This window comes from Homo sapiens, chromosome 7, assembly GCF_000001405.40.
Source record: "Homo sapiens chromosome 7, GRCh38.p14 Primary Assembly".
Taxonomy (NCBI): Eukaryota; Metazoa; Chordata; class Mammalia; order Primates; family Hominidae; genus Homo; species Homo sapiens.
In genome coordinates this window covers 66,374,143-66,400,408 of record NC_000007.14, presented here as the reverse complement: position 1 = coordinate 66,400,408, position 26,266 = coordinate 66,374,143, and the positions used below count along the sequence as shown (strand labels likewise).

The 26,266-nt window shown below is 49.1% G+C and overlaps 1 long non-coding RNA gene and 1 pseudogene across 1 annotated transcript, besides 2 other annotated features; one reads left to right on the top strand and one right to left on the bottom strand.

The window, feature by feature from the left end:
• LINC00174 (long intergenic non-protein coding RNA 174) lies at positions 1-24,365 on the top strand. The gene is made up of 5 exons (NR_026873.1): positions 1-87; positions 614-717; positions 4,453-4,530; positions 17,978-18,172; positions 20,406-24,365. It is a non-coding gene; the product is annotated as a long intergenic non-protein coding RNA 174 (long non-coding RNA).
• LOC124901822 (uncharacterized) lies at positions 5,123-5,218 on the bottom strand (annotated as a pseudogene).
• Positions 11,243-11,743: an enhancer, noted in NCBI's record as "H3K4me1 hESC enhancer chr7:65853653-65854153 (GRCh37/hg19 assembly coordinates)". NCBI's record gives its function as "activates a minimal SCP1, AML or CMV promoter by ChIP-STARR-seq in primed H9 embryonic stem cells {active_cell/tissue: H9 hESC(primed)}" and the evidence as "EXISTENCE:reporter gene assay evidence [ECO:0000049][PMID:30033119]".
• Positions 11,744-12,244: an enhancer, noted in NCBI's record as "H3K4me1 hESC enhancer chr7:65853152-65853652 (GRCh37/hg19 assembly coordinates)". NCBI's record gives its function as "activates a minimal SCP1, AML or CMV promoter by ChIP-STARR-seq in primed H9 embryonic stem cells {active_cell/tissue: H9 hESC(primed)}" and the evidence as "EXISTENCE:reporter gene assay evidence [ECO:0000049][PMID:30033119]".
• Positions 24,366-26,266: the final 1,901 nt, after the last annotated feature.

The window sequence follows — 26,266 nt, the reverse complement described above, 5'->3', positions numbered from 1 at the left end:
GTGGTTTGATCTTGGCTCACTGCAGTCTCAACCTCTCAGGCTCAAGCTATCCTTCTGCCTCAGACTCTGGGGTAGCTGGGACAACAGGTACGAGCCATCATGCCCAACTAATTTTTGTGTTTTGTAGAGATGTGTTTCATCACATTGCTCTGGCTGGTCTCAAACTCCTGGGCTCAAGCCATCCACCCACCTTGGACTTCTAAAGTTTTGAGATTACAGGCAGGAGCCACCATGCCCGGCCCTATTCTCTTTTACACTGGTTTATTGTGAGGGCCTCCAATTGTCTTCCTATTAGGCTTGCTCACTTCGGCCTGTTCACTGAAGCCAGAGGAATTCTCCTAAAAGGCAAATTTGGATCAAAATAGTTCTTGATTAAAACCTGCTGGTGACTGCCCATTGCCTTTAAGACAAAGTCCAAACTAATTTGGCCACAGGGCCTGGTAAGAGCTGGCCTCTGCTCACCTTCCCAGTTTTATCCTGCACCAGCCTCCCCAAATCCCTACCCTCCAGCCACAGGAATGTCAGTTTCCTTGGGGGACTTCACTGGTCCTTCAGGAATCCCTCTCCCTACCTCCATCATCACTCTTTCACTCTCATCTTTGCTCATCTTTAGCCTCAGCCAAGATGTCTCACCCTACTCTCTATGATGCAACAAGAAGCCCCTGGGGAATGTTTCAGTCCCAGTCTGTACTATTGTCATGTGCTCATCACAGTCTGGTAAGTGTTGGCCTGTGATTCCTAGGTTAGTCCATTTTGCATTGCTGTAAGGAAACACCTCAGGCTGGGTAGTTTATAAAGAAAAACAGTTTATTTGGCTCACAGTCCTGCAGACTATACAAGTAGCATGGTGCCAGGCTGGGAGCAGTGGCCCACACCTGTAATCCCGGCACTTTGGGACGCTGAAGCAGGAGGATTGCTTGAGCCCAGAAGTTCAAAAGCAGCCTGGGAAACATGATAAGATCTTGTCTCTGCTAAAAATAAAAAAAAAAATAGCCAAGTATGATGGTACACTGATGCATGCCTGTGATTTCAGCTACTTGAAAGGCTAAGGTAAAAAGACCTCTTTAGCCCGGGATGTCAGGGTTGCAGTGAGCCATAATTACACTACTGCTCTCTCGCCTGAGTGTCAGAGTGAGACTCTGTCTCAGGAAAAAAAAAAAAGCATAGTACCAGCATCTGCTGGTGAGGACCTCAGGAGGCTTCCTCTCATGGCGGAAGATGAAGGAGGAGCCGGCATGTCACTTGTTGAGAAGAGGGAGCAAGGGAGAGGGGAGGAGGTGCCAGGCTCTTTAAACAATCAGCTCTCATGTGAACTAGTAGAGAGAGAACTCACTCATTACCTTGGGGAGGGCACCAAGCCATTCATGAGGGATCTGCCCTCATGACTCACACACCTCCCACCAGGCCCCACCTCCAACATTAGGGATTCAATTTCAATAAGATTTGGAAGAGACAAACGTTCAAGCTATATCAATTTCCTGCTACCCTATAAGCTCTGCGAGGGCAGAAACTTTTTTTTTTTTTTTTTTTTTGATACGGAGTTTCACTCTTGTTGCCCAGGCTGGAGTGCAGCGCCTCAGCTCATTGCAACCTCCGCCTCCTGGGTTGAAGCGATTCTCCTGCCTCAGCCTCCCGAGTAGCTGTAGCTGGGATTACAGACATGCACAACCATGCCTTGCTAATTTTTGTACTTTTAGTAGAGACAGGGTTTCACCATGTTTGTCAGGCTGGTCTCGAACTCCTGACTTGAGGTGATTCACCTGCCTCAGCTTCCCAAAGTGCTGGGATTACAGGCGTGAGCCACCACGCCCGGCCAAGGGCAGAAACTCTTATACCTTGTTCACTGCTGTTTCCTGGGCACCTATTATAGTGCCTGGTATTTAGTAGGAGCTCAAGAAGTGTTTGTTAGGGCCTGATGTGTTGGTGCAATCCTGTAATCCCAGCTCTTTGGGAGGTGGGGGCCAGAGGATTACTTGTGCCCAGGAGTTCAAGGCCAGTCTGGGCAACATAGTGAGACCCTGTCTCTAGAAAAAATAATAAACTGGCCAGGCACGGTGGCTCACACCTGTAATCCCAGCACTTTGGGAGGCTGAGGTGGGCAGATCACCTGAGGTCAGGAGTTCAAGACCAGCCTGGCGAACATGGTGAAACCCTGTCTCTACTAAAAATATAAAAGTTAGTCGGGCATAGTGGCACACACCTGTAATCCCAGCTACTCGGAAGGCTGAGGAAAGAGAATCGCTTGAACCCAGGAGGCAGAGGTTGCAGAGAGCCGAGATCATGCCACTGCACTCCAGTCTGGGCGACAGAGCGAGACTCCGTCTGAAAAAAAAAAAAAGAAAAAGAAAAAATAATAAATTTAGCTGGGTGTGGTGTTACATGGCTGTAATATCAACTACTTGGGAGGCTAAGGTGGGAGGATCACTTGAGCCCAGGTGATGGAAGCTGCAGTGAGCCATAATCATCCTGCTGTACTTCAGCCTGTGTGACAGAAGGGGACTGTGTCTCAAAAAAAGTAAAAAAAAGAAAAAGAAAAATATTCGTTGGGAAAATAAAAGAGTGAACAAGCAAAGTTTCAGGAGAGTACTGTGAATGTGGGTCATGTCAGTAGAGTGTAGGAAGTTGGGCAGGAGCGGCTAGACTTCAAGAGCAGGTTGGTGGAGACCAGGTCATTTATCGTAAGCAGTTTGCCCTGTAGCATGTGGATCAAATATCCCACATTGGCTGCTGGTGATTGAACTGGGCTTCCTGTTTCTGTGTTTGGTTTGACCATCACAGTGTTGAAGAACTGTTGAAGTGAATACCTTGCAGTTTGCTACAGTTCCCCCCGGTCTCCCATATTACTCTGGCCTCATTCCCTCCTGTAGGTTGCCTGACCCTCTGAGACCTGTGTTTGCTGTCCCTGCAGATGGGTGGGTAGGAGGTGATTTAAGGAGGAAGATTTAATATGTGAGTTATAGAAAGATAAATAGACTGGGCTCAGTGGCTAAAGCCTATAATCCTAGCACTAGGCCAAGGCAGGAGGATTAGTTTGACCCAGGAGTTCAAGACCAGTCTGGGCCATAGTGAGACCCCATCTCTACAAAAAATTTAAAAATTAGCCAGGCATGGTGGCATGCACCTGCAATCGCAGCTACTCGGGAGGCTGAAGTGGGAGGATAGCTTGAGCCCAGGAATTGAAAGCTACAGTAAGCGGTGATCTTGCCATTGCACTCCAGTCTGAGTGACAGAGTGAGACCCTATCTCAGAAAGAAAAAAGCAAGAGAGAGATAAATAGATCCAGCATTGGTGGGAGTGTGCTTTTGAGTGCTCTTTAGGAGAAAATTTTATTTTAATATTTTTTTCTTCTTTAAATTTTTTATATTCTAGCAGGCTGGGTCCATTCTCTCCCCTTTAATTTCTCAAACACAAAGCGCCCTGCTGGAATTTCAGGTTGGATCTGCAGTATATCACCATTAACATAGCAGCCTGCTATGTTGTAAGTCCTTATGCCAGGAACTGTGCGGGATACAAAATGTAAGAGAAGGCTGGAATAGAGCATCTCCGGGGGAAACGAGAGCCAGAGATACAGCTGTGCCCCATGGAGAGAGGCAGCTGGTGTTTGGTAGTTGCTTGTGGAAAGGCTGTACTTTGGTAAGGTCTCCACAACTGCAATGTGGCCTTCAATATTATAGGTCCCCAAACTCCAGGTTTTTATGTTCCCTACATAGGTCAGGGTCGTAGGGAGTGATTCACCCTAGCAGAACTCCCTGGTTTTTAAGGCAGGTGTTCCATTTATTAATTGACAAAGGATGCATATTTCTCCTTTGGTAACCTGATGAGTTAGGTCTTTTCTCCAGGGACTCCCTTTCCACCTGAAGGTTCTTGGAAAACTAAGCAGAGAATGAGGGAAAGGCTGTGAACAAGCTTGCTGGTCCCTCCCTGTCCTAAAAAAGAGCATACCTCTTCTGTAACCAGAAGACCCTTTTCACTAGTCAAGGCTGGGCAGACTGAGATGAGGGGTGTGTGTGTGTGTGTGTGTGTTTGTGTGTGTGTGTGTATGTTGAGACAGGGTCTCACTCTGTCACCCAGGCTGGAGTGCAGTGGTGAGATCAGAGCTCACTGCAGCTTCTACTTCTGCAGCTTCCACTTTGATCCTCCCACTTCAGCCTCCAAAGTAACTGGGACTATAGGAATGTGCCACCACACCCAGCTCATTTTCTAATTTTTTGCAGAGATGAGGTTTCGCTCTGTTGCTCAGGCTGGTCTTGAATTTCTGGCCTCACGGGATATCCTCCTGCCTTAGTCTCCCAATGGGCTGGGATTACAGGTGTGAGCCACCTCACCTGACCTGCGATGAGTTTTCAACAATGTGATTCCTCTTTTACAGAACCACCTTAGCTAAATATTCTTTTGAGAACAAGGGCTAGCCTGTAGTTTCATGGCCTTTTTTCCATTTGTGGTTTTTGCCAGGTGGAATTTAAATGACCTTTTATCAAGATGGATAAACGCAAGTTTCCCAGTGCTGGAATACAGAAAATGGATGGACAAGTAAGTCCCACTCAGCACCCATAGCCCAGACATGGGGACCTCAACACACCTGGGCCCCAGACATCACCTTTCATTGTGAGTAGCTCAGAGATGACACTTCGTTGTTAAGTGCCCACTGGCAATAGTTTCTATAACAGCAAGTGAAGGAATAAATAGTCACCAAAACATTTTCTGTTCCCAATTCCAACATTAATTGGATGAGATAATTATTTTATGAAAATTTTCATATAGCACAGTCCTGGCCATATCTTTAAGTGAACAGAAAAATTCTATTAAAAAGTCAACCTTCTATCTCACTCTCTTGCCCAGACTGGAGTGCAGCGGTGCAGTGGTGCAGTTATGGCTCACTGCAGCCACAACTTACTGGGCTCAAGCAGTCCTCCCACCTCAGCCTCTGAAAGTGCTGGAATTATAAGCAGACAGCCACCATGCCTGAAAACTTGACAATTTACATCAAGTGTAATAAGAATGCTCATGCCCTGTGACTCACAGTAATCTCACTTCTGGAAATACCATCTTTGGATATAATTCAACCTAAACAAAAGGTCATATGTACACAGTGAAAATCCGGATGTAATTTTTTTCTTTTTAAAAACATATGGAATGATTCACAAATTTGCATGTCATTCTTGCACAGAGGCCATGCCAATCTATCGTTCCAACTTTAGTATATGTGCTACTGAAGCAAACATGAGTAATTTAAGATAAAGTGGTTAAGTGGAATAAGGAAGAGTTATGGGGAATTTAAAAATTTATGGTATACTCCCTCTCCCTCTCCCTCTCCCCCTCCCCCTCCCCCTCCCCCTCCCTCTCCCTCCACGGTCTCCCTCTGATGCCGAGCCAAAGCTGGACGGTACTGCTGCCATCTCGGCTCACTGCAACCTCCCTGCCTGATTCTCCTGCCTCAGCCTGCCGAGTGCCTGCGATTGCAGGCGCGCGCCGCCACGCCTGACTGGTTTTCGTTTTTTTTTGGTGGAGACGGGGTTTCGCTGTGTTGGCCGGGCTGGTCTCCAGCTCCTAACCGCGAGTGATCCGCCAGCCTCGGCCTCCCGAGGTGCCGGGATTGCAGATGGAGTCTCGTTCACTCAGTGCTCAATGGTGCCCAGGCTGGAGTGCAGTGGCGTGATCTCGGCTCGCTACAACCACCTCCCAGCCGCCTGCCTTGGCCTCCCAAAGAGCCGAGATTGCAGCCTCTGCCCGGCCGCCACCCTGTCTGGGAAGTGAGGAGCGTCTCTGCCTGGCCGCCCATCGTCTGGGATATGAGGAGCCCCTCTGCCTGGCTGCCCAGTCTGGAAAGTGAGGAGCGCCTCTTCCCCGCCTCCATCCCATCTAGGAAGTGAGGAGCGTCTCTGCGCGGCTGCCCATCGTCTGAGATGTGGGGAGCACCTCTGCCCCACCGCCCTGTCTGGGATGTGAGGAGCGCCTCTGCTGGGCCGCAACCCTGTCTGGGAGGTGAGGAGCGTCTCTGCCCGGCCGCTCCGTCTGAGAAGTGAGGAAACCCTCTGCCTGGCAACCGCCCCGTCTGAGAAGTGAGGAGCCCCTCCGTCCGGCAACCACCCCGTCTGGGAAGTGAGGAGCGTCTCCGCCCGGCAGCCACCCCGTCCGGGAGGGAGGTGGGGGGGGTCAGCCCCCCGCCCGGCCAGCCGCCCCGTCCGGGAGGTGAGGGGCTCCTCTGCCCGGCCGCCCCTACTGGGAAGTGAGGAGCCCCTCTGCCCGGCCAGCCGCCCCGTCCGGGAGGGAGGCGGGGGTGGGGGGTCGGCCAGCCGCCCCGTCCGGGAGGGAGGTGGGGGGGTCAGCCCCCGTCCGGGAGGTGAGGGGCGCCTCTGCCCGGCTGCCCCTACTGGGAAGTGAGGACCCCTCTGCCCGGCCAGCCGCCCCGTCCGGGAGGGAGGTGGGGGGGTCAGCCCCCCGCCCGGCCAGCCGCCCAGTCCGGGAGGGAGGTGGGGGGTCAGCCCCCTGCCCGGCCAGCCGCCCCGTCCGGGAGGGAGGTGGGGGGATCAGCCCCCCGCCTGGCCAGCCGCCCCATCCGGGAGGGAGGTGGGGGGGTCAGCCCCCCGCCCGGCCAGCCGCCCCGTCCGGGAGGGAGGTGGGGGGATCAGCCCCCCGCCTGGCCAGCCGCCCCGTCCGGGAGGTGAGGGGCGCCTCTGCCCGGCCGCCCCTACTGGAAAGTGAGGAGCTCCTCTGCCCGGCCAGCCGCCCAGTCCGGGAGGGAGGCGGGCGGGGGTCGGCCAGCCGCCCCGTCCGGGAGGGAGGTGGAGGGGGTCAGCCCCCCTTCCGGCCGGCCGCCCCGTCCGGGAGGTGAGGGGCGCCTCTGCCCGGCCGCCCCTACTGGGAAGTGAGGACCCCTCTGCCCGGCCAGCCGCCCCGTCCGGGAGGGAGGTAGGGGGGACAGCCCCCCGCCCGGCCAGCCGCCCTATCCAGGAGGTGAGGGGCGCCTCTGCCCGGCCGCCCCTACTGGGAAGTGAGGAGCCGCTCTGCCTGGCCAGCCGCCCCGTCCGGGAGGGTGGTGGGGGGTCAGCCCCCGCCCGGCCAGCCGCCCCATCCGGGAGGTGAGGGGCGCTTCTGCCCGGCCGCCCCTACTGGGAAGTGAGGAGCCCCTCTGCCTGGCCACGACCCCGTCTGGGAGGTGTGCCCAGCGGCTCATTGGGGATGGGCCATGATGACAATGGCGGTTTTGTGGAATAGAAAGGCGGGAAGGGTGGGGAAAAAATTGAGAAATCGGATGGTTGCCGGGTCTGTGTGGATAGAAGTAGACATGGGAGACTTTTCATTTTGCTCTGTACTAAGAAAAATTCTTCTGCCTTGGGATCCTGTTGATCTGTGACCTTATCCCCAACCCTGTGCTCTCTGAAACATGTGCTGCGTCCACTCAGGGTTAAATGGATTAAGGGCGGTGCAAGATGTGCTTGGTTAAACAGATGCTTGAAGGCAGCATGCTCGTTAAGAGTCATCACCACTCCCTAATCTTAAGTACCCAGGGACACAAACACTGCGGAAGGCCGCAGGGTCCTCTGCCTAGGAAAACCAGAGACCTTTGTTCACTTGTTTATCTGCTGACCTTCCCTCCACTATTGTCCTATGACCCTGCCAAATCCCCCTCTGCGAGAAACACCCAAGAATGATCAATAAAAAAAAAAAATAAAATAAAATAAAATAAAATAAAAAGAAATCCAATTGCTGGAAAAAAAAAAAATAAAAAAAAAAAATAAAAATTTATGGTATTTATAGGCACCTAGTAACGGCTCAGTAAATATTAGCTGCTACTTTTATTATTTTTATGGTAATTCCACTCAATTAAAAACTGTCATTAAAAATTACCATTGTCATGGAACATAATGTATCCTACAGTATAATTGTAAAAACAGATACAATTTGTCCCTTGGTATATGGGGGGGATTAGTTCCAGCTCCCCCATTTCTGTGTATACCAAAATCCACCCATACCCACTGCAGCCTAGACTTTTCAGGCTCAAGGGATCTTCCCACCCCAGACTCCAAAGTAGCCGGAACTATAGGTGGGCACCACCACCACATCTGGCTAATTTAAAAAAATTTTTTGGTAGACAACAGGGTCTCACTATGTTGCCCAGGCTGGTCTCCAACTCCTGTCCTCAAGCGATCCTCCTGCCTAGGCTTCCCAAATTGCTGGGATTACAGGCATGAGCCACCATGCCTGGCCTCTGCTAGTTCTGTATTCTCTAGAGTCGTCTTTCATTTGTGCTAGTGTGTCAGTCATTACGCCAATCCTCTGTTATAATTAATACTTTTCATATTAAATTTATATATATATTTTTTACTTTTTTTTGTTTTTTATTGGTACTGGGTCTCGATCACCTAGGCTAAAGTGCAGTGGCACGATCTCTGTTCACGGCTACCTCCACTTCCCAGGCTCAAGCAGTTCTCCTTCCTCAGCCTCCCGAGTAGCTGGGATTACAGATATGTGCCACCACCCCTGGCTAATTTTTGTGTTTTTTGTAGAGATGGTGTTTCGCCGTGTTTCCCAGGCTGGTCTCAAACTCCTGAGCTCAAAGCGATCACCTGCCTTGGCCTCCCAAAGTGCTGGGATTACAGGTGTGAGCCACCGTGCCCATTTTAGTTTAAACTTCTGAGTGGTTTATATCTCCTGATTGGACTCCTAGAAATACAGAATTGATGCTAGGAAGGGTACCAGGAGATGGACCCACACAGATGGGATTTGGGCATAGGTTTGGTTATCCAAGGAGCAGAGCTGAGCTCCTTGCCAGTGGGACATGGGATGCTGGTGATTTCTAGGAAGTGACCTCACAATAACTCAAGCTACCACTTACTGTTGATTGTGATGAAATGCCAGCCAAGGCATATGCCATTCAAGCTAAGGGGTGCTACACTTGACCGCTGCGGTAGTATAGATGAGTCTGAAGAATGGTATGGGATGGATACTTTCGAATGCACTGGAGTAGGGGTCTCCATCCGCAGGGCCACAGAGCCGGAGAGGAGCAGTGGGTGAGTGAGGGGAAACTTCATCTGTATTTATAGCCCCTCCCCATCGCTCACATGACCACCTGAGCACCATGTCTTGTCAGATCAGTGGCAGCATTAGATTCTCATAGGAGCACGAACCCTGTTGTGAAGTGTGCGTGTAAGGGATCTAGGTTGCACGCTCCTTATGAGAATCTAATGCCTGTTTCTCCCATCACCCCAGATGGACAGTCTAGTTGCAGGAAAATAAGTTCAGAAATCCCACTGATTGTACATTATCATGAGTTGTAGAATTATTTCATTGTATATTACAATGCAATAATAATAGAAATAAAGTGCACAATCTATGTAACACACTTGAATCATCCTGAAGTCATTCCCTCCACCCCCAGTCTGTGGAAAAAATTGCCTTTCACAAATTCACTCTGTTTTTTGCGTAGAGACAGGGTCTTAATATGTTGCCCAGGCTGATCTCAAACTGCTGGGCTCGAGTAATCCACCCCTCTCAGCCTCCCAAACTGTTGAGATTACAGGCGTAAGCCACCACGCTCAACCAAGACTGAGTTTCTTAAACCAAATAAAAATTATGGGAGATTACTTGAGCCCAGGAGGTTGACGCTGCAGTGAGCCCTGATTGCACCACTGCATTCCAGTGTAGGTAACAGAATGAGACTCAGTCTCAAAAAATAAGATAAAATAAAATAAAAATTAGACCGGGCATGGTGGCTCACGCCTGTAATCCCAGCACTTTGGGAAGCCAAGGCAGGCAGATCACGAGGTCAGGAGATCGAGACCATCCTGGCTAACATGGTGAAACCCCGTCTGTTCTAAAAGTACAACGAATTAGCCAGGTGTGGTGGCAGGTGCCTGTAGTCCCAGCTACTTGGGAGGCTAAGGCAGGAGAATGGTGTGAACCCGGGAGGCAGAGCTTGCAGTGAGCCGAGATCGCGCCACTGCGCTCCAGCCTGGGCAACAGAGCAAGACTCTGTCTTTAAAAAAAAAAAAAAAAAATTAACCCTTTATGAAGTTCCCAGTAATTCTTTGCTTCCTAAGTGTTCCCCATAAGCCTCTGAATTTTGTTTGCTTTTCATATACCATTTAAAACGTTTAAGAACTTGTGTCTGTCTGTGTCATCCTTTTTTTTTAAAGAATATCTTTTTGTCACTTCCAGCTGGATCTACCATGAAAGACTTCAGAGTCCAGGAAGAGAGACTGACTGGGCAACATGTTATTCAGTTACAAAAAGACTTGGACTATGACTCAAAAATGATCAAATAATAGTTCATGCATCAAATGCAATAGGAAGTACTTCTGGAGGGTGAGAGAAGCATCCAGTTAAGGTGACATTGAAGCTGGGTCCTGAAAGATGAGGAAGAATTGTATGAGAGTGGGCAGAGAAGGGGGAGGTGGAGGGATGGGGAATGGGCTGGGATGGAGTGAGCTGCTCAAGTAGGGAGACCAGCACTGTAAAGACCTGGACGATAAAGACGGCACATTTTATTCAGGGAATGGTGAATTAAGTGTGGCAGGAATGCTTTGGAGAGATAGTAATTTGCTTGTATGGAATTTTGCCCAAGAGGCCTCATTACAGTTTCTAATCTTTTGATGTTATCATCTATCACTGTCCTTGCCAAATAGTTTGGAATAGGTATAATGATCACAATAACATCAAGCATAATATTTCATTAATTCTCACAAAATCACAGGTAGGTGCCACAGTTATCCCCATTTTGTGAATGAAGTGATGAAGACTTAGGAATAATGAGTGATTTGCCCAAGCTCACCTGGATATTAAGACTGAGTCAAATGTGGGGTCTGGTCTGACTTTAATGTTTGCTTTGTTCATGAGCACCACGTATTGCCTCTCCTATGCAGTTAAGCAGGTAGACAGGTGAAAGAAAAGCCCATGTTAGTCTCTACTCACACACTTCCGACTGAATGTGTGTGTGGAATTTCTACACCAAGTTCTCCAATGCTCTGGATATTAACTGGGTATCCTACAATTTTATTCTGACACTTCCTGGAGTTGGCGTAGACCCCACAGGTTACGGGCTCAGTCCCACAAGACCACCCTTGCTTCACATTGCAATGGCAAGTCCTAGGTTGTCACCTGCACTTTTGACCAACCTGTTACAAATCAGGGGTTCCCATGACCCCCTCTTGGGGTTTAATCATTTGCTAGAGCAGCTTACAGAACTCAGAAAAACAGTTTGTTTCCTTTTTTTCTGAGAGACAGGGTCTCATTTTGTTGTCCAGGCTGGTGTGCAGTGGTGCAGTCATAGCTCACTGCAGCCTTGACTGCCTGGGCTCAAGTGGTCCTCCCACCTCAGCCTCCCTAGTAGCTGAGACTACATGCTTGCACCACCATTTCTGGCTAATTTATTTTTTGTAGATATGGCGTCTTGTTATGTTGCACAGGTTGGCCACAAATTCCTGGGCCCAAGCAATCCTCCCACCGCAGCCTCTTTGAAGTGCTGGGATTACAGATGTGAGCCACCACATTTCCTATTACTGGTTCCTTGTAAAGGATACATCGCAGAAACAGCTAATGAAAGAGATGTATGTGCCAGATGCAGTGGCTCACGCTGTAATCCCAACACTTTGGGAGGCCGAGGTAGGAGGATTGCTTAAACTTAGGAGTTTGAGACCAGCCTGGGCAACACGGTGAAACCCTGTCTCTGTAAAAAATTTTTAAAAAGCTGGGCACGGTGGCTCAAGCCTGTAATCCCAGCACTCTGGGAGGCCAAGGTGGGTGAATCACGAGGTCAGGAGTTGAAGACCAGTCTGACAAACATGGTGAAACCCCGTCTCAACTAAAAATGCAAAAGTTAGCCAGGTGTGGTGGCACGCACGTACAATCCCAGCTACTTAGGAGGCTGAGGCAGGAGAATCGCTTGAACCTGGGAGGTGGAGGTTGCAGTGAGCTGAGATCACACCACTGCACTTTAGCCTGGGCAACAGAGCTAGACTCTTGTCTCAGTAAATAAATTAACCGAGTGCGGTGGTGTGCAGTTACTAATTCCAGTTACTACAGAACTAGACTCCATCTCAATAAATTAAATAAATAAATAAATAAATAAATGAATAAATAACTGAGTGTGGTGGCATGCACCTGTAGTTCCAGTTACTAGGGAAGCTGAGGTGGGAGGATGTTTTGATCTGGGGACTGGGGAGGCTTAGGTTGCAGTGAGGTAAGATTGTGCCACTGCACTCTAGCCTGGATAAAAGAGCCAGACACTTTCTCAAAAAAAAAAAAAAAAGAAAAAGAAAAAAAAAAGATGCCCAGGGCAAGGTAAGTGGGGAGGGGCACAGAGCTCCCATGCACTTTGTTGAACATGCTACCCTCCCAGCATCTCCTATGTTCAGCAACCCAGAAGCTCTGCAATCCCTGTTGTTCAGGGTGTTTATGGAGGCTTTATTATGCAAGCACGATTGATAAAATCCTTGGCCATTGGTGATTAAGTCAATCTCCAGCCCGTCTTGCCTCCTGGAGTTAAGCGGGTGAGGCTGAAAGTTCCAAGCCTCTAATCATGTCGTTGCTTTTTCTGGCAATCGGCCCTTCTCCTAAAGAAATCTAGGAGCTTGCAGCCACTCATCATCTCAACAATATCCCCAAATGCATTCTTGTCATGCTGGAGATCCCAAAGTTCTTAAAGTCTCTTGTGTTAGAAACCTGGGACAAAGACCAAATATTAAAACAAAAGATGCTCCTATCACCTCTAACACTGAGGTCTTTATAAGAGCTTTAGAAGCTCTGTGCCAGGAACCAGGGACAGAGACCAAATATATTTTTCTGTTCTTTTTTTGAGACAAAATCTCCCCATGTCATCCAGGGTGGAGTGCAGTGTTGTGATCATAGCTCACTATAGCTTTGACCTCCTGAGCTCAAGTGATCCTCCCACCTGAGCCTCTTAAGTAGCTGGGACTACACATGCATGTTACCCATGCCCAGCTCATTTTTGTAGAGATGAAATTTAATTATGTCGCCCAGGCTGATCTCAAACTCCTGGGCTAAAGCGATCTCACCTCAGCCTCTCAAGTAGCTGGGAGTACAGGGACACACCACCATGTCTGGCTAATATTTATTTTTATTTTTTCATAGAGGTGAGGTCTCACTATGTTGTCCCGGCTGGTTTCAAACTCTGGGCCTCAAGTGTTCCTCCTGCTTTGACCTCCCAAAGTGTTGGGATTATGGGTGGAAGCCACCACGCCCAGCAATTACAAGGATTTTTTTTTGGTTTTTTGTTTTTTTGTTTTTTGAGACGGAGTTTCGATCTTGTTGCCCAGGCTGGAGTGCAGTGGCGCGATCTCGGCTCACCAAAACCTCCACCTCCTGGCTTCAAGCGATTCTCCTGCCTCAGCCTCCAGAGTAGCTGGGAATACAGGCATGCGCCACTACACCCGGCTAATATTTGTATTTTTAGTAGAGACGAGGTCTCTCCCTGTTGGTCAGGCTGGTCTCAAACTCTTGACCTTAGGTGAATCACAATGATCTTTATAAAAGAAAGAGGGTAGGAGAGTCAGAACTGGAGCAGGAGATGTGATGGAAGCCGAGGTCAGAGAGGGAGATTTGAAGATGCTTCACTTCTGACTTTGAAAATGGAGTAAGGGGCCATGATCCAAGGAATGGGGGTGGCTTCTAGAAGCTGGAAAAGCCAAGAGAAAATGTTAGAGCCTAGAGCCTTCAAAAGGAATGCAGCCCTGCTGACACCTTGACTTTAGCTTTAATAGACCTAGTTTGGGCTTCTGGCCCCCAGAACTGTAAAGATGGTTGATTTGTGGTGTTTTTAGCCACTAAATGTAGGAAAGTTTGTTGCAGCCACAAGAAGAAATGAACATAAAGCCAGGCATGGTGGCTCATGCTGGTAATCCCAGCACTTTAGGAATCCAGGCAGGAGGATCACTTGAGGCCAGGAGTTCAAGACTAGCTTGGGCAACATAGTGAGACCCTGTCTCTACAAAAAATTTAAAAAATGGCTCAGTGCAGTGGCTTGTGCCTGTAATTTCAACACTTTGGGAGGCTGAGGCAGGCAGATCACCTGAGGTCAGGAGTTCAAGAACAGCCTGGCCAACATGGCAAAACCCCATATCTAATGAAAATACAAAAGTTAGCCAGGTATGGTGGCACGCGCCTGTAATCCCAGCTACTAGGAAGGCTGAGGCAGGAGACACCCTTGAAACTGGGAAGTGGAGGTTGCAGTGAGTCAGGATCACACCATTGCACTCCAGCCTGGGCAAGAAGAGCGAAATTCCATCTTAAGATAAAATGAAATAAAATAATAAATCAGCCAGGCATGATGACATGCACCTGTAGTCTCAGCTACTAGGGAGGCTGAGGTGGGAGGATTGCTTGAGCCCAGGAATTGGAGGTTGCAGTGAGCTGTGATTGCACCACTGCACTCCAGCCTTGGTGGCAGAGTGAGATCTTGTCTCCAAAAAAAAAAAAAAAGTATGGTAGGCATGGGGACAGATGGCAATGTTAATAGAATAGTCAGGGGTGGCCTCCTTAGTAAAAATTGAGCAAAGACTTGAAGGAGGGGAAGGAGTTGGCCAAGGTGCTGAGGGAAGAGCATTGTAGGTAGAAAAAACAGAATAAGGTGTCTGAGGTGTGTCTGAGGCTCTGGAAGGAGGCCAGTGGAGCAGGAGAGAGGGAGAGAATTAGGGCAGTAGGCCAGAGATTTGCTGGGCAGGGATCAGTACATACCGTGTAAGCCCTGGGAGGTTATTGCTGGGCTAGATAGGAAATTCAGGAGGGTTCTGAGCAGAGAGGCCACGTGATATGTCTGCCGATTTAAAAGCATTCTCTGGCTGCTGAGTTGAGAAAGACTGTGGGAAGATTTGGGTAGAAGCATGGGGGCCAAGCTGTGGCAACATCCAGGTGGGAGATGATAGTGGTCTTGACCAGGGTCATGGTGGTGTTGAGAGATGGTCAGAGGAGAGAAGTAGGGGAGGAGGCCAGGGAGTTGCTGGGTGGGGATCTTCAGTACGTGTTGAAGACAGTCAACAGGATTTCCTGTCAGACTGGATGTGGAATGTGAGAGAAGGCAGGGGTCAGGGTTGAGTTAGATTCTTACCGAATTATTAAGTAATTTTAAAAAACACTACTGTCTTTCCCAGTCCTATTAAGTATGGGATACTAGATTAAAGAAATATCTTCAGGCTCAGTGCAGTGGCTCATGCCTGTAGTCCCAGCTGTTTGGGAGGCAGAGATGGGAGTATCTTTTAAGGGCAGTAGTTCGAGACCAGCCTGGGCAACATAGCAAGACCTCCTCTCAATAAATATATTTTTCAAAATTTAGTAAAACGAAATGTAGCTAGGCATGCTGATGTGTACTTGTAGTCCCAGCTACTCAGGAGGCTGAGGTGGGCAGATCTTTTGAGGTCAGGTGTTTGAGGCCAGCTTGGGCAACATAGCAAGACCCCTCACTCTGCAAAAAAAATTTAAAAAATAGCCAGGTATGGTGGCACTCAACTGTGGTACCAGCCAGTGGGGAGCTGAGGCAGGAAGATGGCTTAAATTCAGAAGGTCGAGGCTTCAGTGAGCTATAAGTGCACAAGTGCTCTCCAGCCTGGGCGACAGAGCAGGACCGTGTCACAATACAAATTAAGTAATGAAATCATAAGTTAGAGCCTTTAGGCTTTGTAGCCCTTGCAACCCCGGAGCCGTGCAGTGGGATTTGCATTGCTGGGAATGAAGAGACCCCTGCCCAGTATTGCTGCCTGACTAATCAGTGTTTTAAAAAATATATGAATCTGTTGGGAGGCCGAGGCGGGCGGATCACGAGGTCAGGAGATCTAGACCATCCTGGCTAACACGGTGAAACCCTATCTCTACTAAAAATACAAAAAAATCAACCGGGCGTGGCAGTGGGCACCTGTAGTCCCAGCTGCTGGGGAGGCTGAGGCAGGAGAATGGTATGAACCTGGGAGATGGAGCTTGCAGTGAGCCGAGATTGTGCCACTGCACTCCAGCCTGGGGAACAGAGCGAGACTCTGTCTCAAAAAATATATATATATATAAATAAATATATATGTAAATATATATAATGTATAAAAATATATGTAAATATATTAATATATAAATATACATGCAAATATATATTAATATGTATGTAAACATTAATGTATATGTAAATATATATTAATATATGTAATATATATAATTATATATATTAATCAGTGTGGGCACAATGGCTTACGCCTGTAATCCCAGCACTTTGGGTGACCGAGGTGATCACCTGAGGTCAGGTGATCACCTGAGGTCAGGATTTCGAGACCAGCCTGGCCAACATGGCTAAACCACATCTCTACTAAAAAAACATAAAAATTAGCCAGCCATGTTGGTGGGCACCTGTAATGCCAGCTACTTGGGAAGCTGAGCCAGGAGAATTGCTTGAACCCAGGTGGCGGAGGTTGCAGTGAGTCAAGATCGTGCCACTTCACTCCAGCGTGCGTAAGTCAGACTTTGTTTCCCCCCCAAAAAAAAGTACTACTTACGTCAACTTGTAATGGTTTTATTATTCATGTGTAATGAATGTATATTTTAAAAATTTGTCCTGTACTATATCAACATGAAATGGTTTTATTATTAATATGTAATGAATAATATTTTAAAATTTGTCTTATTTTCTAATTTTAATATAATTATTTATATAAAGAAAAAGGCTTAAGAGATCTTCAATAGAGTTAAAAAATGTAAAGGGATGCTAGACCCAAAAAGATTGGGAACATGTAGTTTAGACATATTCAGAGTAAGCCACGTACAACTTGCTACTTTACCTATTTTCTTTCCTTTTTTTGTTTTGTTTTGTTTTAGAAGATGGGGTCTCCTCTGCAACCCAGGCTGGAGTACAGTGGTGCAATCACAGCTCACTGTAGCCTTGAACTCCTAGGCTAAGGCTCCTCCTGCCTCAGCCTCCTGAGTAGCTGGGACTGTAGTTATATATGATGACACCTGGCTATTCTTTAAATTGTTTTGTAGACATGGGGTCTCACTTTGTTGGCCAGGCTGGTGTCAAACTCCTGGCCTCAAGTGACCCTTCTACCCCTGCCTCCCATCCTAGAGGTATGAGCCACCACAACAAGCACTTGTTCGATTTTCTAAAAAACAAATTTCCAAATTAAGGCTGTGGGATGATGGCCAGAAGATAAAGTAGAAAAACAGAATAATAGGCCGGGCGCGGTGGCTCACGCCTGTAATCCCAGCACTTTGGGAGGCCGAGGTGGGTGGATCGCGAGGTCAGAGTTCGAGACCAGCCTGGCCAACATGTTGAAACCCCGTCTCGACTAAAGATACAAAAAAATTTAGCCAGGCGTGGTGGCACGTGCCTGTAATCCCAGCTACTCGGGAGGCTGAGGCAGGAGAATCGCTAGAACCTGGGAGGTGGAGGTTGCAGTGAGCTGAGATCGTGCCATTGCACTCCAGCCTGGGTGACAGGGCAAGACTCTATCTCTAAAAAAGAAAAACAGAAGAATAAATTCTAATGACTTACACATATTCTTTTGACAGCAAGAAGAACTTTTAGTAAATACATTCCTTACAAACAAACAGAAGGCAAATAAACACTGTTGTACAGGAACTTCAACACACACTGTACAATATTCCCACTTTGCTGATGTCAGTTATGGAAATTCTTCATGGTTTACTTGACTATCGCTATCAGTATTTTGCATCTCTCATCATTTTTGTCAACTTCCTCATCTGCTAACTTCTCTCCAAGGTATGTCATATTGTGACATACTGCTGCTGCACGAACATGGCCAGTGTCATCCTATTAAACATGTAGAATCCTTCCCTAATTTGTTTTTTTACCCTCTGTCTCTTTGTTTTGCATTTTTCTTACCCTTATTGTCAGAAACTCCAGAAAGTCAATCGTAGTGATTTATCACCAATTGCTCCATTAATTTATACTTTGCTTACATGGAATTTTGCCCAACAGACATCATTACAATTTCTAACCTTTTTTTTTTTTTTTTTTTTTTTTCCTGAGACAGGGTCTTGCTCTGTTGTCCAGGCTGGAGTGCGGTAGTGCTATCACAGCTGACTGCATCCTCAACCTCTCAGGCTCAAGCAGTCCTCCCACCTCAGCCTCCCAGGTGGCTGAGACTGTACGTGCTTGCCACAATGCCCAACTAATAATTTGGACTTTTCCTATACATGGGTTCCAAAGGGCTGACTGCGAAACGTGAGTATGCATGGATTTTGGTATATGCAGAGATGGGGGGCTGGAACGAATCCTTTCTGTATACTGACGGACGACCATATATGTTTTTACACTTATGCTGTACGACACATATTGTTCCATAGCCTTGAAAATAGTAATTTTTAATGACAAATAATTTTGAATTTAGTGGTATAATATAAAAGCAGCTGACCAGGTGTGGTGGCTCACACCGGTAATCACAACACTTTGGGAGGTTGAAGCAGGAGGATGGCTCAAGGCCAAGAGTTTGAGACAGGTCTCAGAAATCAAGGGAATCACCATCCCTACAGAAATATACATGAATTAGCCTAGTGTGGTGGCATGTTCTTGTAGTCCCAGCTACTTGGGAGGCTGAGGTGGGAGGATCACTTGAGCCCAGGGAGGCTTAGACTGCAGTGAGTCATGATCAGGCCTCTGCACTCCAGCCTGAGTGACAGAGTGACCCCATCTCAAAACAACAAAAAAGTAGCAGCTAACATTAACTGTCCTTCTACCAGGTGCCTATAAATACCATAGATAGTTTAATTTCTTTTTTTTTTTTTTTTTTTGAGACGGAGTCTCGCTCTGTCACCCAGGCTGGAGTGCAGTGGCGCAGTCTCGGCTCACTGCAAGCTCCGCCTCCCGGGTTCACGCCATTCTCCTGCCTCAGCCTCTCCGAGTAGCTGGGACTACAGGCGCCCGCCACCACGCCCGGCTAATTTTTTTTTATTTTTAGTAGGGACGGGGTTTCACCGTGGTCTCGATCTCCTGACCTCGTGATCCACCCGCCTCGGCCTCCCAAAGTGCTGGGATTACAAGCGTGAGCCACCGCGCCCGGCCAGATAGTTTAATTTCTTATAACTGTTTCTTATTTCACTTAACCACTCTGTCTTCAGTTACTACCAGATTTTCACTGTGTTTGTGCAGATGACCTTTTGTTTAGGTTCAGTTGTCTTGCAAGGTATTTCCAGAAGAAAGATTACAGTGAGTCATGGTGAATGGACATTCTCATTGTCCTTGATGTAAATTGACAAGGTTTTGGGTGCCTCGCAGGTATAATCCCAGCACTTTGGGAGGCCAAGGCAGGAGGATTGCTTGACCCCAGGATTTGGAGGAGACAGTAGGGTGAGACAGTGTCTCTATTATTAAAAAAATTGCTGGTCAGGTGTGGTGGCTCACGCCTGTAATCCCAACACTTTGGGAGGCTGAGGTGGGTGGATCACCTGAGTTCTGGCTTGCGATAACCAGCCTGACCAACATGGAGAAACCCTGTCTCTACTAAAAATACAAAATTAGCTGGGTGTGGTGGCACACACATGTGATCCCAGCTACTCAGAGGCTGAGGCAGGAGAATCACTTGAACCCAGGAGGTGGAGGTTGTGGTGAGCCGACATCGCACCATTGCACTCCAGCCTGGGCAACAAGAGTGAAACTCCATCTCAAAAAAAAATAAATAAATAAATAAACAATTGGAAGCTTTACCGTGAAAGGCTTACATACAATTTAAACACCCCTCATTGTATAAGAAAGTGCCCATTTCACTGCATCTTTGCCAGCACAGGGTATTATAATTTAATAAGTTATTTTTTGTTTTATGATTTTATTATTACTTTATTTGTCACATTTCAACATCTTATACATTATTAGCCCTATTTCTTTTCTGTGTGTAAATAGTTGTTTTGTTCTTTGAGACAGGGTCTTGCTTTGTCACCCAGGCTTGACTATAGTGCCATAATCATGACTCACTGTAGCCTTGACCTCACAGGCTCAAACTACCCTCCTACTTCAGCTTCCCGAGTAGCTGGGATTATGAGTATGCACCACCACACGCAGCTAATTTTTTTCTTTTTTTGGATAGAGACAGGGTGTTGCCCAGGCTGGTCTCTACCTCCTGGCCTCAAGCAATCCTCCTGCATTGGCTTCTTAAATTACTGGCATGAGCCACCATGCCTTACTTTGGCTAGTCCTATATTCTCTAGAATTCTCTTTACTTTGTGCTAGCCAATCTCTCATGCTGTTCCCCTGTTATAATGAATAATTATCTATATTAAATTTTAGCACTTTGGGCTTTTGAGTGGTTTATGTCTCCTGATTGGACCCTGACTAATACAGAGTTGATGCTGGGAAGGGTCCCAGGAGACAGACCCACACAGATGGGATTTGGGGATCAGTTTGGTTATCTTAGGGGCCGTGCTGAGCTCCTTGCAATGGGAAATGGGATGCTGTTGATTTCCAGGAAGTGACCTCACAATGACTCAAGCTACCACTTAGTGTTGATTGTGATGAAATGCCAGCTGTGGCATATGCCTTGGGAGCTAAGTGGCTGCTGCACTTGACCACTATGAAGACTGGTGTGGAAGGGTCCTTCTGGATGTACTTGGGCAGGGTCCCCAACGCCAGAGCCATGGAACTGTAAGGAGCCACACAGCCGGAGGTGAATGGTGTTGAATGAGGGAAGCTTCATCTGTGTTTACAGCCACTCCCCATTGCTCACATTCCTGCCTGAGCTCTGCCTTCTCTCAGATCAGCAGCAGCATTAGATTCTCATAGGAGCATGCACCCCATTGTGAACCATGCATGTGAGGGATCTACGTTGCGCTGTCCCTATGAGAATCTAATGCCTGATGCTCTGTCACTTTCTCCAATATTATCTTCAAGTGAGCCACTCCTGGCCCAATTCCTGTCTCCCGTTGGCCTATAGAGGCCAAGCCTCTGCCTCATGATGGCCTCTGCAGGTCAAGCTCCTCCTCCTGGTTCCGTCTACAGGCCCAACACTTCCCTCAAATAAACTCTTCTGCCCAGCTCCTGTCCAGCTCACGGCAGCCACTGTCGGCATGAAAATTCCTCAATTCAAGCTCTCTAGGCCCACCTTCTGCCTCCCACTGGCCTGGACACGCCCAGCTCCAACCTGACAATGGTCTCTACAGGCCCAGCTCATCGGGCTCTGAGGGACCTCTCCAGGCCAAGCTCTTACCTCACGGAGGCTTCTCCAGGTCGTTTCTCCCTGTCTTCAGGCAGTGGTGACAGGTCAGCTCCTCCTCCACAGTGGCCTCGTTTGGGCAGGTCCTGCCTCTTGCAGCCTCTCAAAGCCCAGCTCCTGCCTCTGAGTGGCTTCTGCGCACCCAAATGTCCTCCAGTCAGCCTGTCCTGGCTGAGCTCCTGCGACCTGGCTGAGCTCCTGCCTCCTGTCGGCCTCTATAAACCCAGCCTCTGCTGTATGGTGGCTTCTTCAGGCCCAGCTCTTCCTCCTGGCGGTGTATACAGGTCCAACTCCTGCTTCCCAATGGACTCTTTAGGCCAGGCTCATGCCTTACGGCAGCCTTTCCTGGCCCAGCTTTTGCCTGTTGGCATACCCTCCAGGCCCACAATGTACTCAGATCAGCCACTCCATTCCCAGCTCTTCTTCCTGGCTGTGTCTACAGGCCCAACTGCTGCCTCACAACACCCTCTTTTGGCCCAGCTCCTGCCCAGCACCTGGTGGCCTCTATATGCCCCAGACTTCTTAAAGTCAACTTTGCTAGGCCCACCTTTGGCCTCCCAGCGGCTTTGACAGGACCAGCTCTTGCCTCATGGCAGCTTCCCAACGCCAGGTTTCTGCCTGCATTGTGGCATCCTTGATGGACCCAACTCTTGCTTTATGCCGGCCTTCCCACACCAAGTTTCTGCCTGCCTCATGGCAGGATCCGATAGGCCCAGCTCCTGCCTCTAATGGCCTGGTTAGGCTCATCTCATCCCTCAAGGTGGCCACCCCAGATGAAGCTCCTGCCTTTTGGCAGCCTTTAGAGGCCCAGCTCATGCATCTCATTGCCTCTTGAAGCCCAGCTCATTCCTCAAAACGGCCTATCCACGCCCAGCTTTTCCCTTTGGTGGCTTCTCCAGGCCCAGAAATTCCTCAGTTCGGCTTCGCAAGGTGAAGTTGCTGCCTCCCTGTGCCTTCTCCAGGCCCAGTTCTTCCTCCCAGCTGGGTCTACAGTCCCATCTCCTGACTCAAAACAACCTATTTTGGCTCGGCTCCTGCCCAGCACCTGGCGGCCTTTGTAGGCCTAAAGCTTCCTCAAGTCAAGCGTTCCAGGCCCAGATCATGCTGCCCAGGGGCCTTCACAGGCCCAGCTACTGCCTGACGATGGCTTCCCCAGGCCCAGGTCTTGCCTTCCCCCAGCCTCCCGAGGCCCAGCCCTTGCCTCACAGTTGCTTTCCCAGTCCACGTTACAGCCTGTTACCCGACGGCCTTGACAGACCAAACTCTTCCTTCACACTGGACAGTTTAGGACAAGCTCATACGTCTTCCAGCCTCTCCAGGTCAAGCTCCTGCCTCACACTGGCCTCTATAGGCCCAGGTGCTGAATCGCAATGGTCTGTTTAGGTCCATCTCATGCCTTTCTCAGACTCTCCAAGCGACGATCTGGCCTGACACTTGCTTCTGTGGGCCATGTGATCACTCACACTGGCCTCTTTAGGATCAGGGGATGCCTCTCCACAGGCCGAGATCCTGCCTGTTGTAGGCCCCTTCAGGATGCGCCGCTGCCTGACAGTGGACCCTCCAGGCCTAGATGTTACGTGATCATGGCCTCTGCAGGTCAAGAATTTAAATTTTCGCAGCCTCTATAGGCCAGGCTACTGCCTCCTGATAATGGCTTCTGCAGGCCCAAATCGTCCTGAAATAAGCCTCGCCAGGAACAGCACGTGTGTTGGATGCCCGAACAACCATAGCTTCTCCCGCACAGTGGCCCATGGGGGCCGGGCTCTTGCCTCAGCCTGGCCACCTCAGGCCCAGTTCTTGCCTGTTGGCGGCCGCTCCAGGCCCGGCTCCTGCCCCTCGGCCTCCTCTCCAGGCCCAGAACTGGTTCCCGTCGGCCTCTCCAGGCCCAGCTCTCCCGGCCACCTCCACGGGCCCAGCTCCTGCCTCACGACAACCACGTTCGGCCCAGCTCCTGCCCAGCTCCTGGCAGCCGTTGTAGGCCCCAGGCTTCCCTGCGTTCAGGCCTCCCGGACCCACCTTCGGCTTTCCGGCGGCCCTGAGAGACCCGGCTCCTGCCTGCCAGCGGCCTCTCCCGGCCCAGCTGCGGCCTCACGTCGGCCTCCCCAGGCCACGTTTCCGCCTGCCTCACGGCAGCCCCGGCAGGCCCGGCTCCCGCCTGCCGGGGGCCTCTTGAGGAGGCTCATCTCGTGCCCGGCCGCGGCCTCCCCAGGCCAGGCTCCTGCCTGCCGGCAGGCGCCACAAGCCCAGCTCCTGCGTCCCGAAGGCTTCTCTAGGCCCGGCTCGTGCCTCGCTGCGGCCTCTTGAGGCCCAGCTTTTCCCTTGTGGTGGCCTCTCCAGGCCCAGAACTTCCTCAAGTCGGCCTCCCCCGGTCCAGTGGCTGCCTCCCGGCCTCCTCTCCGGGCCCAGCTCTTTGCTCGCGTCTGCGCCCGTGGGCCCAGCTCCCGTCTCCAAACAGCCTCCTTCGACTCGGCTCCTGCCCAGCTCCCGGCGGCCTTCGTAGGCCCGAAGCCTCCTCCAGTCCAGCTCTCCAGGGCCGCGTCTTGCCTCGCCTCGCCTCCCCTCACCTTGCCTCACCTCGCAGCAGCCTTTCCAGGCCCAGCTCCCGCCTCCCGGCGGCCTTCCCCTGCCACGCTCGTGCCGGCCTCCCGGCAGCCTCCACCAGCCCGGCTCCTGCCTCACGCTGGCCCCTCTGGGCCCAGCTCATGCCTCGCGGTGGCCTCTCCGGGCCCAGCTCCCACCCAGCCTGACGGCGCCTCCCGGCCCCAAGCTGCCTTCCTCGATGTGGCCCAAAGTGGCCCAAAGCGTCCCAAAGTAGGCCTCGCCAGGCCCACCTCCTGCCCGGCGTAGGCCCTGAGGGGCGCGGCCCCTGCCCCATACTGGCCTCTTTTGGGCCCTCTCTTACACCAGCCCCTGTCTCAGGATTGTCTCTTCACGCCCATCTTCTGCCTCATAGTGGTCACTCAAGGCCTCGCTTTTGCCTGATGATTGCGTTTTCTGGTTTTGCTCTTGCCTTGTATTCCCTTCTTCGGGATACAGCTTTTACGTCTTCCATGGTGAACCTCATCAAGGAGACTAAATCTTCCCTGGTCTGTCATTTTTTTCACTTCACACCAGAGTGCCTTGGGAAAACCCCATCTCTTCTTTTAACCTTGAGAGTGGATTTCTGACGAATTGATAATAAATTTTTTCTCTGTGGTTTCAGTGATTTCTGTTTTATTTAATGTCCCATGGTGTTTTTTTGTCTGCTGGGGGTGAGGGTGGGAATGAATTTTTGGCCCTTTGTCTTTGCCCCGGAGATGGTAGCTTCTCACTTCATTTCTTCTGTTTTTATATTATTTACTGTTTTCTTTTCTTTTTTTCTTTTTGTTTTTCCTTAGGTTCTTACTCTGTCACCCAGGCTGGAGTGTAGTCATGTCATTATGGCTTACTGCATCCTTGGCCTTTTGGCCTCAAGTGATCCTCCCAACTCAGTAACTGAGACTATAGGCACATGCCAATATGCCTGGCTGATTTCTGTTTTTTTTATGAGGTTTTTTCTCACTAGGTTGCCCAGTCTGGTCCCAAACTTTTGGACACAAGCATTCCTTTTGCCTGGGCCTCCCAAAGTGCAGAGATTACAAGCATGAGCCATCATGCCCTGCCTGCAATTTTTCTGTCATGAACTATTAATAATTTACTTTTTGCTTAATATTCTATGACTATATATATTTATGTAAATATAGATACTTTAAATTTTTCTTTGATACCAATTTTTCCGGTTTTTTTTTTTTTTTTTTTTTTTTGAGGCTGGGTACTGCTTCGTCATTCAGGATGGAGTGCAGTGGTGTGATCTCGGCTCACTGCAAACTCTGCTTTTTTGGCTTAAGTGATCCTCCCACCTCAGCCTCCTGAATAAATGGGACCCCAGGTATGAGCCGCCATGCCCAGGTAATTTTTATATTTGTTCTAGACAGGAAGTCTCACCATGTTTCCCAGGCTGGTTTCAAACTCCTGGGCTCAAGCGATCCTCTCACATCAGCTTCCCACAGTGCTGGGATTACAGGTGGGATCCACACCTGGCCTGCCATTTTCTTTTCATAGATCATTAAGAATTTACTTTATGCCGGGCACGGTGGCTCACGCCTGTAATCCCAGCACTTTGAGGGGACGAGGTGGGTGGATCACGAGGTCAGGAGTTCAAGACCAGCCTAGTCAAGACAGTGAAACCCTGTATCTGCTAAAAATACAAAAGTTAGCCATGTGTGATATAATCGCAGCTACTCAGGAGGCTGAAGCAGGAGAATCGCTTGAACCCGGGGAGAGGAGGTGGCAGTGAGCCAACATCGTGTCACTGCACTCCAGCCTGGGTGACAGAGTGAGACTGTCCAAAAGAAAAAAAAAGAACTTGCTTTTTGATTAGTATACTGTAAATATATATATGTATATGTGTTATATATTTGTATATGAATATATGTGTGTGTATATTTTCATAGCGCACACACACACACATATATATTGTGAAAGAGATATCTGAATACCTAGAAACTGATAAGCTTCTTCCAGGTTTTGAAACCACCCTTAGAACAAAGACAAAAGAAGTACAAAGTATCATTATTAATGACCATGGACCAAGATGACCATGAGTCAATAGTACTTTGCACCTCAACCACCTTCCAGCAGAGCATCTTAAAGGGCTGGATGTATCTGAACATCACACCCTTTCACAGGGACTAGGATGCTTTGTAATTGTTACTTCTCTTAAGACCTCAGTGTGACCCTTGTCAACGTGAAATCAAACTATTTCTCAAATGATAGAGATATTGAATAACAGCTTTGGTCAGGAAATAGGTATTGCATTTGGTTCGTCATGATAAGTTCCTGGCCTAAGAAGATGAAATATTGCAGAAATGTGTGTGTGTTTGTGTGTGTGTGTGTGCGTGTGTGAACATTCTTGCGCACAGATGTGGGGGTGGAAGTGGGGTTTGAATTTGATAAGACCAGCAGTGGGCAGGCTGCTGGGAGGGGCCACTTGTTTTGGCAGTGGCAGTGTAACTCTAGAATTAACAAATGCTTCTAAGCCTCAGTTTTCTCTACTGGAAAATAAAGACTATAATTCCTGCCTTGATATGTGGATTAGG